Raw genomic sequence first — 16919 nt, 5'->3', positions numbered from 1 at the left:
CCGCAACCGCAGCATTTGACCCGGGATCCTGTGCCAAGTGACCATAGGGTCACAAAGCACAAGGGAAGTGGCTGGGCCCGATGCTGGCTCTGCTGGAACCTGAGGCCGGCCACTGTCACCTGCACGGTGCCTGGGACCTTCCAGCAAGCACAGAGAGGCTATGGCCCTCCAGGAGCAGCTGGCAGGCACCTTGGCCTGCAGTCAGGGGCTCTGTCTGCTCAGCTCTAAAACAGGAAAGTCGCTGCTCTGCCTGGGGTCAGGGCAGCCAGAGAGTGACCAAGTCAGTGCCGGCCTCAGGAAGGGACCTGCAGGCGGGTCCCTTCCTCTCCCATCCCTCGGTGCCAGCCAGCCCCTCCTGTGGCCCCCCACTGCCTGCCTCTGCCCCCATGCCCCACCACAACCTCAGGCCCATGGCTGCATGGCCACTCCCCAGGCAGGCAGTGGGGATGGGATTTCACCATGTTGGCCAGGCTGGTCTCGAACTCCTGACCTCAGGTGAGGAGTTCCTAAAGTGCTGGGATTACAGGCGTGAGCCACCGCGCCAGCCCTCCCTGTGGTACTAAACACTCACACCCCCTTGCTGGGGACCCTGGTGAGGGAACACAGCCTCACAAGTGAAGTGTGGTTTTGTTGAGCAAATGACGCCTGGGCAGCCCTCTCATCTTTGCCTAAAACTGAAGAATTTAGGGGCGTGGATGTATAAAACAGTTGGTGACTTAAATGAAAAAGAAGGCCACACTCCCCCCTTTAGGCAGGCGGCCTAATTCTTTAAAAGCCAGCACAGGGTGCCTTTCTGAACCCAGGCACACAGTAGGTGTTCAATGGACAGCAGCGGTTACTTGTACTGCTCATGACACCCTGTCTGTGGCCTCTGCAGCTGGCTCCAGCCTGACGCATGGCTGCGCCCCTCCGCAAGGCCACCCCGGTATACATGGAAACTCTGTGGAGAAGGCCTTGGGGGCCGGCCAGGACGCCAGGCCCAGATCCCATCTGCGCCCTTCCTCCATAGACCTCAGCGAGCTCTCGGCACCGTGTGCCTCAGGCCCATTTAAGAAGTAGGGCCGGCCAGGCATGGTGGCTCATGCCTGTAATCCCAGCACTTTGGGAGGCCAAGGTGGGTGGATCACGAGATGGTCAGGAGATCGAGACCATCCTGGCTAACACGGTGAAACCCCATCTCTACTAAAAATACAAAAAATAAGCCGAGTGTGGTGGCGGGTGCCTATAGTCCAAGCTACTCGGGAGGCTGAGGCAGGATAATCGCTTGAGCTCAGCAGGCAGAGGTTGCAGTTAGCGGAGATCGCGCCATTGCACTCCAGCCTAGGTGACAGAGAGAGACTCTGTCTCAATTAAAAAAAAAAAAAAAAAAAAAAAAGAAGCAGGGCCAGCCACGGACGACCCCTCACACAGCTCCCAGGACGCGTGCCTGGGTATAGGGCTCAGGACCATGACCGCTGCAGTGGCCCCCAAGAAACGTTACTTTTGTCACCCACCCCGCCTCAGTGGCAGTAGCCAAAATAACGGATTAGAATGGAACCATGTGACAATGCCACTGCCCCAACTGACAGAAGATGGCTATCAGCAGTTCACGCGGCCCCACCTATCACAAGTGCAGGGCACTCTACAACTTATGCATCCTTCCCCAGACACCGTCCTTTCGACCCTCCCAGGTCAGCAAGGCACACAGGGCCTACATTTCACAGCCACACAGCAGAGGGCTGAGGCTGGAACTCGGATGCTCTGATTTCCGTTCAATCAGATCCCCAGAGGTGGCACAGAGACGGGGGGCTTCTCTTGACAAAGTCAAGAAAGTCACTGCCAGCTCCACTGAAGACCAAAGAACCTCAGCTCTCAAACCCTCTTGAAGGTGTTACCGAACTCTCCCAGCCTGTTTCCTGGGTCCCGATGTTGGTCCCGTGGGACACAGGAAGAGGAAGAAGCTCCCTAGAGCAGAGCCTGGTGCACCTGCCACACTCTCAGAGGGCTGCGCACGGGCGGAGGAGCCGTGTGCAGGAGTGGGGTCTGGATGGAGGGGCGCTGTGGCCGGGGGCAGGGGGCAGGGGAAGGGTGCTCCAGGTGGTGGGCACAGCACGAGCAGGGGCAGGGAGGTCCACACTCAGATGTGCACAGGGAGAAACAAATCGTGCATTTCCATTGGAATAGGCGGTAAAAGGTAGAAAAACAGAGTGGGGGCCAGGAAGGGAGTCGGAGCCTTCTAGTGTCTCTCTGCAGGTGAGCGGCAGCCCGAGGTGTCAGCTCAGCAGACTTGGGGCCCAGGGGCCGTGTCTTCTATCACTGACCCCAGGGCACACGGAACTGGGGAGGGAGAGCAGAGGCACAGGGCACGGTCAGTGAAACGAAACAAGGAGTCATCACCAAATGCGGAAAGGGCAAGGAGTGCCCGCAGCCGCACAAGGGTTCTGTCTGGGCAACGTGGGCGTCCCACCAGGCCCCGCACCCTGCAAGCGCAAAGCTCGCCACTGAAGATAAAGGGAAGCTGTTGGAGCTGCGGAGCTGGTCTGGGGTCCGCATGGAGCTGGGCTTATGCTGCAGTCACAAGGGGGACATGGAAGAGGCTGCAGGGGACAAAACCAGTGACCACAGTCTAACTCTGAGCCTGTGGAAAGGCGCCCACAGCATTCACCCATCCCAGAGATGCCATTCCCCCTGTGCCCCCGCTCCACGGTGACAGCGTTCTCCAGGAATATGATGCGCCCCTCTCCTCTTGCATCAGCCCTGACAGTGAGTATTCAGGCCAAAAAGCAGAAGAGCACAGCTGCGTGGTTCCATTTCCATGTAGTTCTGGAACAGGCAACGCTAATCCAAGGTGATAGAAGTCAGGAGAGTGGTGGAGGGGGCGGGGGTTGAGGATGGCAAAGGGGCACCGGGAACTTTCCCAGTGGTAGAAATGTTCTCTGTCTGGACCGTGTGGTAGTTATGCAGACATATGCAGCTGTCAAAGTTAATCCAAATGTACACGTTAAAATGTGTGCGTTTTATTGCCTGCAAGTTATACCTCAATTAAAAAAATAAAGTTAGCACTCAGGCTTCTTCCACAACTTCCTGAACCGTGTGAGCTGATTTTCTTGCTATTAAAAATTCACGGTCCATGGCTGAGAACAGCAGCTGCCTTCTGTTTGCAAAGTCAACGCCAATCACTGCCCGGCCGCGGCAGACTCGGCCCCACAGGACCTCCTTTCTTTTTTCCCTTTGACCTACTTCCCTGATAAGTGACAAGACAGCCAGACTCTGGGAACAAACGCCCGTTATTCGGCCCCGAGCTGAGCGGGCCCTGCTTCCTGAGCTAATCCGCCCGGACAGACGGAGGGACGTGAGGGGCTTTGCCGTCGGCTCCAGCTGTCAGTCTGCCCGTCAGACTCGACAGTGGCCCCCTCTGTTCCTCCCGCTGCCCCCACTCCATCCCCGACTTCTTTTTGTTTCCTGTCCCTGACAGACGAACATCTGTTAAAACTCTGTCTGGGTGAGCTGTGGCCAGCGGCCCACAAATCCCCAAGCCGCACCCCAGCCTCATCTGGGCGCTGCCGGGAGCACTGCCTGGCCACCCTCTGGACATAGCTCTGAGAGCCACCGGCCAGGGCACGTGTGGCCCGAGTGGCATGGTGCACGCCGCTAAGCCCACTGCCCAAAGGCCCCCAAGCAGGAGGGATGTGCAGGAGACAAAAGTCAAAAGAACAGGGGCACGTTCCACAGAGGATGGGGCTGGAGGGGTGGCAGTGAGGAACAGCAGCTTCCGAGGATGGCGGTGGCAACTCCCAAATAAGGCCTCACTCCTGCTGTTTTTAGCTCATTCCACATAATTGGAAAAACATGGCAGAAACCGAAGCCAGCTGCCGCCTTGGTCCTGGGGCTGTGTGGAGGGGGTGGGGAGGCCGGAGGCCCAGGCTCTGCACTCGACTGCTGGGGATGAGAGTGACTCTGAGCTGCAGAGAGCAGCATCGCAGCCGCCATGGTCCCACTGAGCCCCGGCCACGCTGGGCGGCAGAGGCTCGTGGGATATACCTGCCCTGTCTCATGGGGGTCACTTCAGGAGGGGCGGGGGAGCCAGGACACAGCCCAGGGCTAGCGGTCACCCTGCAGCTCAGGGGCCACGTAAATAGTGCCACCTTGAAGGCACACAGCAGTGCGGGGCCCCCCCCGCCACCAACGCATCCCTACCTCTAGGAGGCCGCCTGTGTGCCCCTGGGAACGCTGCTCCCTGTCCCTTGGGGTCCCGGTGTGACCACCCTCTCAGCCCCTTCCTTGGGGAAGGCACCTGACTCCCTACACCCAGCTGGCTTTCATTTGCTCAAAATCAGGAAAAAGCAGAATTCAAGACATCACAGAAATGTCTTCGCCTGTAACTCCATGAAAGATAAACGGTCAGACACCCAGGAGGGAGTCCCAGGGACCCTTGAGTCTCACCTGAGGCTCTGGCTTCAAACCTCGAGATGTTTCCAGCCATGCTAGCGCCGCCCCCCACAACCTGCCCCACACAGTCCTCCCTTGGGAACTCACAGATTTGGCCCCCACCTGCCCCGTTTCTTCTGGTGGAGTGGGTGCGTTGGGTTGGGGTGGGGCTGGGGACTCTGGATGTGTCTTAAGAGTCTGAGTGATTCTGACACAGCCAGGCCCTGCCCCCCTCCTGACCTTCGCCCCACAGGAAAGGGAGCCACACGCCTGAAGCGCCCAGCACACCCCCCTCCGTCCTCCCCAGGTCACCCGCTGGCCGTGTGAGCCGTGCTCCCCACTGCCCCTTCACCCACCCCAGCTCCTCCTGGCAGCACCCAGCCTTGGAAGCTACTTCTGATTACAACCGCCGAAGGAAGACTCGCTCCCTCGGCACTGACCCAGACAGCCTGCACCATCACGCTGCTCAGCACAACCCACACAGCCTTCCTCCAAACCCCATGGAGCGGGGAGTATAATCACCCCCTTTCTACCAACGGACAAACTGAAGCACAGAGAGGTTAAGTCACTTTCCTAAGCTCCCAACACGATGACAAAAAATAGAAGGTCAGCCCGCAAGTGGAACTAGGTGCTCCAAGTCCCCGGTCTGCCTGACACTGCACCTCCTCGCCGCCACGGTCCCGGGTCCGCCTGACGCTGCACCTCCTCGCCGCCACGGTCCCGGGTCTGCCTGACACTGCACCTCCTCAACACCACCACGGTCCCGGGTCTGCCTGACACTGCACCTCCTCACCACCACCACAGTCCCGGGTCTGCCTGACACTGCATTTCCTCATCACCACAGTCCCGGGTCTGCCTGACACTGCATTTCCTCATCACCACGGTCCCGGGTCTGCCTGACACTGCACCTCCTCACCGCCACGGTCCCGGGTCTGCCTGACACTGCACTTTCTCAACACCACTCCTTGGCCGGCTCCCAACTACAAACCAAGCCATGTCTTCCATCCTGAATCCTCTTGGCCTAAACATCACTCACAATGCCTCCCTCGGGAACAGGCACAAGTCCCACCAGCACAGCCTCCTTCGTTACCTGCGTTTCCGCTAGCCCAGGGCCAGCTCCAGAGCCCTCACCACAGAGCCTCTATCCTTCACCCCCGGACACTGGACCTCACCAACCCATAGCCTGGAGGAGATCCCTGTGTGACCCCAGGGCCTCCTCTGCCCGACTCTGAATTTCACTGCCCAACGTGACACCTCGGAAGGCTCTCTGGGCACTGGCAGCCCTCCATGGGCACCGCTCCTTCTGGCCAGCTCTGACATCCCGGCTGGTGAGGTGCCCTGCACGAGGCCTCTGCCCACTGGGACCTCACAGCCGTGCTGTCAGCTGCAACAAGCGACAGAATTTCACGTTTTCTTCACGTTGCCCCTGGGTGAGCAGCTCCAGGTAGTTTTCAGTCGAGGCGAGGCGTCCCGTCAGCAGCCAGGCGGCACAGCTAATTCATGCCCGCCGGGCGCACGGCCGCAATACCAATGGGCACCTGCAGCCTGGAAAGCCACAGAGGAACCGAGAACAGCGACTGTGCTCAGGTGACAGGACTGTGGTCTTTTAACAAAACATTTTCCTTTAACGTGATATTTTACGGCAAGGAATGAAACCTGGAGGGCAGGACATTTGGATACTAAAGCCCCAGGCTGCCGCGTGGTCTGCTTTGTGAAGTCTGAAGCCCGCGCCCCATTCTGGCCCCGCTCACAGGTCCGGCTCTGACTCACCAGCTTCAATGCTAGGCCGTGCCTGTCCTCCAACCAGAACATGACTTCCTTAAGGACAAAGCCGTTTCTCGCCCATCCCCATCTCCCTCTGGATTAAGAAATATGGGAAGATCTTCTAGAACCACCTCAAATTTGCAGAGAGCCATCCTGGTGACAAACCCTTGAAATGCTTCTAAGAAGAGTTTAGGTTTCTTCTCAACTCTAAAACCTCTAGAAAACTCTATTTCCACACCAGCTGCCCCTGGAACACTTCAGCTTCAAAAGGGCCCAGGGCAGGGAGACGGAGGAGCCAGCATCCACACCGAGCACCAGCCTGTTAATTAACGGGAAGCGGGTGGGGCCCATCTCCAGGCAGCTCTGAGGTCAGACTGGGGAACCATGCTTACAAAAAAAAGTGAACTGAAACGCTCACGTCCTCATGCAAAACCAGACTCCCAGTTGCATCTTTCTGTCTCATTGAGGAGCTTTTTCCTCCCTTTGACAGAACACCCTACACACGGCATCTGGAACCAAAGCAGAAAGATTCAGGCTCAGAGTAAAACAGTCCCCACACTGGCTGCATGTGGACGTTCCCGGCCCAGAGTCTCGCCCAAGCAGGGCCTATAAATGACACAAAATGTTTTTCTCCTGCGTGCCAGTCATGCTCCAACTGAGTTATGTGTAAAAGTGCCTCTCACGGCTGAGGGCAAAAACAGTTCCCACAAGACTAGAGAAAGGTGACCCCTGACGGCTGAGTCTCTAGGGAGCGTGGAGCTGCGTGCTCAGCCCTGCGGCCCTGACGGCTCTGGAATGGAAAAGCTATCCAACTGGAAGGGCAGGGCTCGCTGCTAGTCCAGCGGTCCAACCCCACAGGTGTCTGTGGTGTCAGCTCCATGCCACAGAGCCCAGGGCTGGGGCCAGAGCCACCAGGCCCCCTGCCAGCCTGCAGGGGCCTCCTCCTCTGGGTAGCCTAACCACCCCCTGTGAGCGCAGGCAGCCTCCTCTAATCACCACAGGGCCTGTCCCCCCCTCTCCCCCGCTTGCAGGAAAATGAGCCCTGAGGACTCCCCAGGGCTGCTCTGGGCCTGGACATGGAGACTGGGAATTACATTTGCAGAAGGAGCGCAATGCCCTTGAAGGGCTCAGCCACGAGCAGCCAGTCCCCAGGGCTCAGAAGGCCCAGCTGTTAGAACCCTGGGAGCCAGCAAAGAGCCAGGGGCTCCACCTAAGTCTATAGCCCCTGCCTCTTCTGGTTGGGAAAGAAATCAACGCCCCTTTACTGGCTCCCACTGACAGCCCACTCCCCCAGGTATGGGAGGATTCTGGGACGATGCAGGCAAACCTGGACCCTGAGTGAACCTGCCCCAGCTCTCACGGGCCTGGCACCAGCCACAGCACCTAAGGCGCCGGTCATGGTGACAACATGAAGGTGATAAGGGCATGGACAGTGGACATGGCAGCTGGACACTGGGCACCCACTGGATGCCAGGCACCCAGCACGGCTCCGTCACCCCTGGATGAGCAGTGGCCCTTTGCAAGCCAGGGTAGCCTGGGCAAGTTATTTGGGGGTCTCCAAGCTTGTCCAGCTGTGCGACTTCACTGAGCCATGAGTCTGGGATTTTATCAGGGCCCACACCCGTTCCTGGAACTCTGATACGTGAGGGAGCCACACAGGGACCCTTAACAAAAGCTCCCAGGGCAACATGTTCTCTTGCCTCAGTCTCCCAAATAGCTGGGATTACAGGCGCACGACTACCGCCCGGCTAATTTTTGTATTTTTAGTAGAGACAGGGTTTCACCATGTTGGCCAGGCTGGTCTTGAACCCCTGACCTCAAATGATCCTTCCACTGTTAGGGCAAGGCACCTGACAGGCACGACTGCACGATCTGCTTGTTGGGGGCTGTGTCCATTCCCCACTCCTTCGACAAATGTCCACACCCAGCCTTGCTTTGACACCCCAAGAACAGAGATGGTGACACCTGCTTCCTACATGCCCATTGCTCTCCCAAGGCAGACATCCCCAGCAGATGCAACACAGTGTTTAGGCAGACATCACCAATCGATGGTGGCAACAGACACCAGGCCCTGCTCCCTCTAACTCCAGTGGCCAGGCCCCAAGCCAGCTCTCACCTGCCCACTCCCAACCCACAGCAGCAAGACTCAGAAATGGCAAAAACACAAAGAGAACAGAAACGCCCCATAGCGGGAGGATGACTAAAAGACATGTCTTGATAAGATATTGTTCAGGCATAGGCCAGGCACAGTGGCTCATGCCTGTGATCCTAGAACTTTAGGAGGCTGAGGTAGGTGGATCACCTGAGGTTAGGAGTTCAAGACCAGCCTAGCCAACATGGTGAAACCCCATCTCTACTAAACATACAAAAATTAGCCAGACATAGTAGCGGGCGCCTGTAATCCCAGCTGCTTGGGAGGCTGAGGCAGGAGAATTGCTTGAACCTGGGAGGTGGAAGCTGCTGTGAGCCACTGTACTCCAACCTGGACAACAGAGCAAGACTCTGTCTCAAAAAAAAAAAAAAAAAAAGATATCCTTCACTAAAACTCATGTCTTTGATACATATTTACCTCCTGCAATCGCAAATGCTTCTGCAGTGCATAAAGTGAAATAAATAGCAGGAAGCCTTACGGTTCGATCACCCACACAGACACACAGTCACATACAGGAAAAACGCAGGGAGGGCTGGGGAACAAAAAAACAGAAGATAAAATGTGGAGACAGACACACCAAGAGAGTAAGAGACCACCTCCAGACCTCCCTTCAGCTTCTCAAACACACGAGCCGGGCCCGTTACAGAATTTGCGGGGACCGCTGCAAAATGGAAGTGCAGACAGCCCCTTACTCAAAAGGTAGGAATTTCAGGTCAACAACAGAGCTCACCTCATATGACTACACAGGTCACACAGCCCGTGAAGTCGGTCCCAACACCAGCATGCTCCTGCCTCAAAGCCGCTGCACGTGCTGTTCCTTCTCGCCTTTCCCTCTTTTAGTCCTTCAGATCTCAGGCCTCCTGAGAGAGACCTCTGACCTGCCGGCTCAGGCGGCCACACCCCCAGTACAGGAGTCTCCGGCTCAGCCCCTGCTGTGTTCCGTACCCGATCCAGGTCTGTCCTATGTCCATCTGTGTGCCGGCTTGCTTCCTGACATGGCCCCCACCACACGTGTGCCTCGGGGCAGGGGAACAGGCCCGTCTCATTAACTGCTTTCTTCTCAGATATTTTCTGGAATATTTGTGGATATTGGGCAACATATATGCTCCACCTTTTTCAGACTAGCCAGGACGAGCTGCATTTTTTTTTTTTTTTTTTTGAGACAGGGTCTCACTCTGTTGCCCAGGCTGGAGTATAGCGGCATGATCTTGGCTCAGTGCAACCTCCGCCTCCTAGGCTCAAGCAATTCTCCTGCCTCAGTCTCCCAAGTAGCTGGGATTACAGGCCCGTGCCACTACTGCCCAGCTAATTTTTATATTTTTAGTAGAGATGGAGTTTCACCATGTTGGCCAGGCTGGTCTTGAACTCCTGACCTCAAATGATCCACCTGCCTTGGACTCCCAAATTGTTGGGATTACAGGCGTGAGCCACTGCGCCCGGCCCGAGCTGCCTGTTTTACACCTTTGCCATATTCCGGTGATTCTCTCTCCCCTCCGTCCCCCGGCCCTGACTGTGGTGGCCACTCCCTGCCGTCATGAGCCCGTATGTCCTCACTCTTTCCCTTTCCGCCAGGACTTCAACCAACACTGCAGAGCGCAGGGTCCAGCTCCAGCACTGAGTTCAGCCTCTTCTCACCAACAGACAGGCAGGAAAGAAAACAAACTCTGAGAAGGCCAAGGTTCCCGGGCAGCCAGCAAGCCAAGCATCCTTCTCCGCTGAGGCTTGTGCAGCCGAGGCACCCCCTCCTCCAGGGAGCAGGCAGCGTCCTGGGGCAGTCTGCGAGGGAGACCAGGGCCTTGCTCCACCAGGGCCCAGGTATGGGGCAGCAGCAAACTCATGGCTCTGGGAGCCAGACCCCACCTGCTAGAACCTACTATGCCACCTGCTGTGGGCAACCCCAGGCTGGTGACTTGCCCTGGCCTCCTCTGTAAACAAAGGGCTCATCCAACCTGGTCAAACCACTCCTCCCCTTCAAGGGTCTATAATCCTCCCTTAACCTGCTTGGTCCAAACCCCTGGTGTCGCCAGGTCACTCAGGAGGCAGCTCATCTGGACTCCTTCCCTGGGTCCAGTTTCTCTCTCAACATTGCCTTTGAGGCCGAGGTGAACGGTCAACAGCGAAGGGCCCCAGAGGTGATGGAGGAGCGGGTGTCCAAGACACTCACCCTTTCTAATGCACTGACTCCCTCGTGGACTCACTTGTGCCGTCTCCCCCACCCACCCAGCCCCAGAGCCCAGAGTGCGAGCGCCAGAGGCCCGGGATTCTGTCTGCACCGCGGGGTCCCCAGTGCCTCGGAGCAATGCCAGCACCCGGCAAGTGTTCGACAAATGCCTGCTGAATGAGCAAATGGATGGATGAACGAATGAATGAGCAAGCAGATGAATGAATGGGGTGCTGTCCAGAGCCGTGAGGACTAGGCCGCCCAAGTCCCCATTTCTCAAATTCTCCTTCTCCCGACTTGGGAAACAAGATGCTTGGTCGGGGAGGCTCTCCAACCATCCCCTGCAGCAGCCGGCACAGCGGACAGACCCTTTGATGTAACAGCCATGTCTTCATTAAAGATGCCCTGCTCTCAGAAAGAGAAAGACAAATACAAACCTGGAAAATCCTCACCAAACGCAGGACCCCTGCCAGGGAGCAGAGAAAAGACCCACACGCCACGGGCGCCACGACCACACACACACCCCAGCCGCTGCACACAAACACAGACCCTAGCCAGCAAGAACAGGGGGACCAGGAAACTGTTCCTAAAGTCAGGACCCCCATGTGCTCAGACAGCAGTGAGAGCAAGGACACTTCTCCATCCACCGGATGCCAGGAGAGTCCTTCTAGGGGGCCCCACACCGAGACTCTGCCCTTAGGACTGTTCCTGAGTGTGGAAGCCAGCCCACTTGGAAGCCCCCTGCCCTCCCGAGTGGGACACCGGCACAGGAAGCAGGCCCTGTCCCCCACCACCTTCTGCAAGCTGGGCCCCATCACGCTACAGAAACGGGGAGGACTGGTCCCAGGGATGGCGCTTTCCTGACACCTCTCGTTACCCCCTCGCTTGCCAGGCCCCAGGGTCAGCCCCAGAGGCCAGACTGGCTATCCCAGGCCCGGGAGCATCCCCGAAGGCGAGCTGCATCCTGAACGTGTGTGATTTCCCGAAGGGCCCGCCCCGAACCGACACCTGGAAAGAAAGATCCTCAGCCGGTGCCCCAGAGGAGAAGAGCCATGCCTCACTGCAACACAGTCCCAGGAAGCACCAAGTGCCTGAGGACCAAGGCGGAGAGTAAAAAAGTGGAAAATATCTGGGGCAAAAATAAAACAAAACAAAACAGGATTGACCTCCTGGGCTCAAGCAATCCTCCCAACTCAGCTTCCCGAGTAGCTGGGACCACAGACTTGAATCACCACACCCGCCAAGTGGATCATTTCGAACGGGTTTGCCGAGGTTCCTTCTGGGGCACCCCCGGCGGCCGCAACCCATTCCCGCCAGGCCCCGCCCCGCCCGCCCGCCCCGTCCCGTCCCACCGCCTCACCTGCCTTACACGTCCTGCCGTTGTCCTGCAGCTGCACACCCGTGGGGCAGGCGCATGTGTAGAAAGGCTCGCTTGGGGACAGCAGGCACAGGTGGGAGCAGCCGCCATTGTCCTCCTCACAGCGAGTGTGGACTGAGAAAACCAGGACAGAGTGAGAGAAGGTTCCAGAAGAGGACCGTCACTTGTTTCTGAATGAGTCACATCCTGCCTCGTCCCCCGTGACAGCCTCCAGTGTGTCCCTCTGCCCAAACATCGGCCTCAAGTGGCATCAGGGACCTCCCCGCTGGCACCATTCCACCTGCCTCATCGCTGGCCCGTCCACATGGGGCCCTCAGCCTGGCCAGACGGCCTGCAATTTCCCCAAAACCAGCCGTGACCTTCCTGGCCACCCTCACACCCAGATGTGACCTGCCCATGGAGTGACATCTCCCCATCTGCTTCCTCCCACCAAGCTCCTATGACTAGAACACCCTCCCCAGCTCCTCGGAGCCCCCAAAGGACACCCCTCTGCAAAGGCTGCCCCCCACGCTCCAATGGCCGGGGTCAGGACCTGCCTGTGTGGTAGTGACGGGAACCCCAGAGACAATGGGCTCCTGGGCAAAAGGCTTGTCTTGTCTTTGTGCTATGTGTGGACCCAGCAGCTTCCATAGGAACACTGTCCCTCTTGCTGGGATGGCCAAGCTTGTCACTCTCCCAAGCCCTTCTATGACCAACAGCAATTGAACGGAACTCGATAAATGCTTCCAGCACCTCATTCAAACCAGGGGAAAGCTGGGTGTAGCAGCCCCAAAATACGGATATAACTGGAACAACAAACTCATCAAAATGAACCTCTCCCTCCCTCATGCTGCCCCAAGTGTAGATGGGTTTTGTGACCACGACTTTCTCACCAGGAAACAGCTCCAGAGAGCCCCACCCTCCTGTGTCCTGCTCTGGGAACAGCTGGCACCCCTAGGCCCCACATTTCAATTCAAAGTCCAAACCTTCCATAATGGCCTGGCCAGAAATCTCCATCCCTGGTCCCTGTGGGAGTGGGCCACTGTCCCCAGAGCCGCAGCCCCACTGTCACAGAAGCTGGTGCATTTCCCCATCAGGGACCTCTGTCACAACCCAGCGTGGCCCCCAGGCTGAGAACTGCTGATTCTGGGCAGATTATTCATTGATAAATACGCGACTTGCAGGGCCAAGCATGGTGGCTCATACCTGTGACCCCAGCACTTTGGGAAGTCAAGGTGTGAGGATCACTGGAGCCCAGGAGTTTGAGACAAGCCTGGGCAACGTGGCAAAATCTCTCATCTCTATTAAAAATACATACACACACACACACACACACACACACACACATATATATGTATATATAAATAACCATATATATATATACACACATACGTGTATGTGTATATAAATACATATACACACACACACAGACAACTTCTTCTGGGCCTTGAAAACGAGGCAACCTTCCTTGGAAATCCCCTTGCCACTGCTGAGCCTGAAATAGCCCCCATGAGCTCTGCAGAGGGGTCCTCTGCAGGCCCGTGTCCCCCAGCCAGCCACACACCTCCCTCCATTGCAGCAGGTACCCCTTTAGAGAGGGGGCCCCCCAGAGCATGGGCTTCTGCAGGGAGGGGTCACCTGCCCCCCCACCCCACCCACGCCCGCGCACCCCCACGCCCCCGCATCCTCCCACTCCCCTGCCCCGCGCCCCCGCTCCCCCCAGCCCCCGCACCCTCGCCCCCGCGCCCCAGCCGGCACTCACAGAAAGGCTGCCGCTCCTGGCTCAGCACCTGGATGTCCATGGGTGAGTAGAGGGCACTCAGGATCTCCTTCCTCTTCCCCCCAGTGCGCTTGTTGCAGGCATGGATGGAGCGGGTCTGCCAGTCTGTCCAGTACAGAGTGTCCCCGGAGAGCGTCAGGGCGAAGGGGTGCGTCAGGCTGCCCTCCACCACCTTCTGCCTGCAGTCAGGGAAGCGGGGTGGAGGAGCCATCAGGAGGGTCCCCCGACAGTCATTGCTGCTGACCCAATTAATTTCTTTTTTTTTTTTTGAGATGGAGTCTCGGTCTGTCGCCCAGGCTGGAGTGCAGTGATGTAATCTCAGCTCACTGCAACCTCCGCCTCCCGGGTTCAAGCAATTATCCTGCCTCAGCCTCCCGAGTAGCTGGGATCACTGATGCCCACCACTACGCCCAGATGATTTTTGTATTTTTAGTAGAGACAGGGTTTCATCATGTTGGCAAGGCTGGTCTCGAACTCCTGACCTCAGGTGATCCACCCACCTCAGCCTCTCAAAGCGCTGGGATTACAGGCGTGCGCCACCATGCCAGGCTTCCCATTTGCTTTCAACCAGACAAGTGAGGCCAGGTCAAGAGCCCCAGGAGCTGGCGCCCTCGTACATTTCTCCCGGCGTGCACAGGGCACCTCCCAAACACAGCCTGTGATGGTGACACACGGGCTCCCCCAGGTCAAGTGGCAAAGTCTCCCCCAGGGAAGAAAGGAGGAAGCCATGCCTGGCAAAAAGCACACCTCTCCTGCCCAACGCTTTAACCTCTGTATACAAATCAGGCCATGTGCACTCGCTCCTTCTTACAATGCTCATAATTTATACTTTCAGAGTAAATGAAACTTGGCATCAACCCGAGAAACAGCTATTCTTTTCTAGATGCTTACAGTGCCCAGCAAATGAGGACTCGGGTGTAATGAGATTATGGACACTGGAAACAGGATCATAATGTGACGTGGTCGGTAATGTGCAGTTTTATTTGCTTAATGACCCTCGCCCCGTGACAGGCTCCCTGAGGGTGGGCCTGGGGGCAGAGGGTCCCCGCCACGTCCCCAGCCCTCAGCACAGTTGCCAGGAGAGGGTGACACTCATGAAGTGGCACAGGGAAGATGGGAGCTGTGGGCTCTGCAGATCCACCACCTCTTCTGTTCATTTTTGTTGATGCTGTTTTTTAAGAAAATTATTGAAGTAAAATTCACAGGACATACGTTTACTTTTTTTTTTTTTTTTGGAGATGGGGTCTCACTCTGTCACCCAGGTTGGAGTGCAGTGGTGTGATCTCAGCTCACTGCAACCTCTGCCTCCCAGGTTCAAGCGATTCTCCCACCTCCGCCTCCAGAGTAGCTGGGACCACAGGCGTGCACCACCACACCCAGCTAATTTTTGGGGGGTATCTTTTTGGTAGAGACAGGGTTTCGCCATGTTGCCCAAGGCTGGTCTTGAAGCCCTGAGCTCAGGCGATCCACCCGCCTTGGCCTCTCAAAGTGCTGGGATTACAGGCATAAGCCACTGCACCCAGCCTAAATTTACCACTTTAAAGTGAATAGTGTTACCTAGTGCATTCGCAAGGCGGTGCAGCCTCCACTTCTGTCTAGTTCCAAAGCACTTCCATTGCCCCACAGGCAAACCCCACACCCGGCAGCAGTCACTCCCCAGTCCCCGCCCCCAGCCCCGGCAAACACTTTTGATGGACTTAACTACACACATTCTCAACATCTCATATAAACGGAATCACAATATACAGCCTCTGATGTCTGTCTTCTTTGACTTGGCACCATGTTTTCGAGGTTCATCCAGGCTGTAGCATGTCAGTGCTTCATCCCGTTTTAGGGGTGAACCATATTCCAGTGTGCAGACAGAACCCAATCTGTGCATCCATTCACCCACTGGGGGACCTTTGTGTCATTTCCACCCTCGGCTGTTGTGCACAGTGCTGCTACGGACATTACTGTCCATTCACATTTTGTGTGAAGACCTGTTTTCGATTCTTAAGAGTATACAGCTAGGAGCGGAATTGCTGGGTCATACGTAAATCAATGTTTACGTCTCAAGGAATCAACAAACTGTTTTCCACAATGTTGTCTTTTTTGTTTGTTTTCTGAGACAGGGTCTTGCTCTGTCACCCAGGCTGGAGTGCGGTGGTGTGATCATGGCTCACTGCAGCCTCAATCTCCTAAGCTCAATCCATCCTCCTGCCTCAGCCTCCTGAGTAGCTGGGAACACAGGTATGTACCACCATGGCCAGCTAATTTTCTAATTTTATTTTTTTTTGTTTTTGTTTTTTTGAGACAGAGTCTCGCTCTGTCGCCCAGGCTGGAGTGCAGTGGTGCCATCTCAGCTCACTGCAAGCTCTGCCTCCCGGGTTCACACCATTCTCCTGCCTCAGCCTCCCGAGTGGCTGGGACTATAGTCACCGGCCACCACGCCTGGCTAATTTTTTTGTATTTTTAGTAGAGATGGGGTTTCACCGTGTTACCCAGGATGGTCTCGATCTCCTAACTTCATGATCCACCTGCCTTGGCCTCCCAAAGTTCTGGGATTACAGGCGTGAGCCACCACGCCCGGCCTTACTTTTAATTTTTTAATTTTATTATTTTATTTTATTATTTTTTTTTTTGAGACAGAGTCTCGCTCTGTAGCCCAGGCTGGAGTGCAGTGGCGGGATCTCAGCTCACTGCAAGCTCCACCTCCCAGGTTCACGCCATTCTCCTGCCTCAGCCTCCCGAGTAGCTGGGACTACAGGTGCCCACCACGATGCCCGGCTAATTTTTTGTATTTTTAGTAGAGACAGGGTTTCACTGTGTTAGCCAGGATGATCTCAATCTCCTGACCTCGTGATCCGCCCGTCTCAGCCTCCCAAAGTGCTGGGATTACAGGCGTGAGCCACCGCGCCCAGCCTTTTTTTTTTTTTTTTTTTTTTTTTTTGAGATAGAGTCTTGCTCTGTCGCCCAGGCTGGAGTGCAGTGGCGGGATCTCAGCTCACTGCAAGCTCCGCCTCCCAGGTTCACGCCATTCTCCTGCCTCAGCCTCCCGAGTAGCTGGGACTACAGGCACCCACCACCACACCTGGCTAATGTTTTGTATTTTTAGTAGAGACGAGGTTTCACCGTGTTAGCCAGGATGGTCTCGATCTCCTGACCTCGTAATCCGCCCGCCTCGGCCTCCCAAAGTGCTGGGATTACACGCGTAAGCCATGGCGCCCAGCCCATGTGGCCATTTTTCAGTGAGAGAAGCCAGAGGCCCATCACTCTCGGTTGCTCCCTGGGCCATGCTCTGCCTCAGCCAGAAGCACTG

At 56.5% G+C, this 16919-nt stretch overlaps 1 protein-coding gene across 10 annotated transcripts in view, besides 2 other annotated features; it reads right to left on the bottom strand.

Moving 5' to 3' along the window:
• Positions 1-16919, bottom strand: part of LRP5 (LDL receptor related protein 5) — a 150864-nt gene that overhangs the window by 71729 nt on the left and 62216 nt on the right. For all 10 annotated transcript variants that reach the window (XR_001747874.2, XM_011545031.2, XM_011545029.2 and 7 more), the window contains exons 4-5: positions 13604-13800; positions 11845-11976 (exon numbers count right to left, since the gene is read on the bottom strand). Coding sequence is in view for 8 of the 10 variants with exons in the window: in XM_011545031.2 (XP_011543333.1) it covers positions 11845-11976; positions 13604-13800 (329 nt within the window). In the remaining 2 variants the exon portion in view is untranslated. The remainder of the gene's footprint in view (positions 1-11844; positions 11977-13603; positions 13801-16919) is intronic.
• Positions 3080-3803: an enhancer, noted in NCBI's record as "H3K4me1 hESC enhancer chr11:68141212-68141935 (GRCh37/hg19 assembly coordinates)". NCBI's record gives its function as "activates a minimal SCP1, AML or CMV promoter by ChIP-STARR-seq in primed H9 embryonic stem cells {active_cell/tissue: H9 hESC(primed)}" and the evidence as "EXISTENCE:reporter gene assay evidence [ECO:0000049][PMID:30033119]".
• Positions 6263-6312: an enhancer, noted in NCBI's record as "active region_5135". NCBI's record gives its function as "activates an Ori minimal core promoter by ATAC-STARR-seq in GM12878 lymphoblastoid cells {active_cell/tissue: GM12878}" and the evidence as "EXISTENCE:reporter gene assay evidence [ECO:0000049][PMID:35858748]".

This window comes from Homo sapiens, chromosome 11 (genome assembly GCF_000001405.40).
Source record: "Homo sapiens chromosome 11, GRCh38.p14 Primary Assembly".
NCBI classification, from domain to species: domain Eukaryota; kingdom Metazoa; phylum Chordata; class Mammalia; order Primates; family Hominidae; genus Homo; species Homo sapiens.
This window is presented reverse-complemented; position numbering and strand designations above follow the sequence as displayed.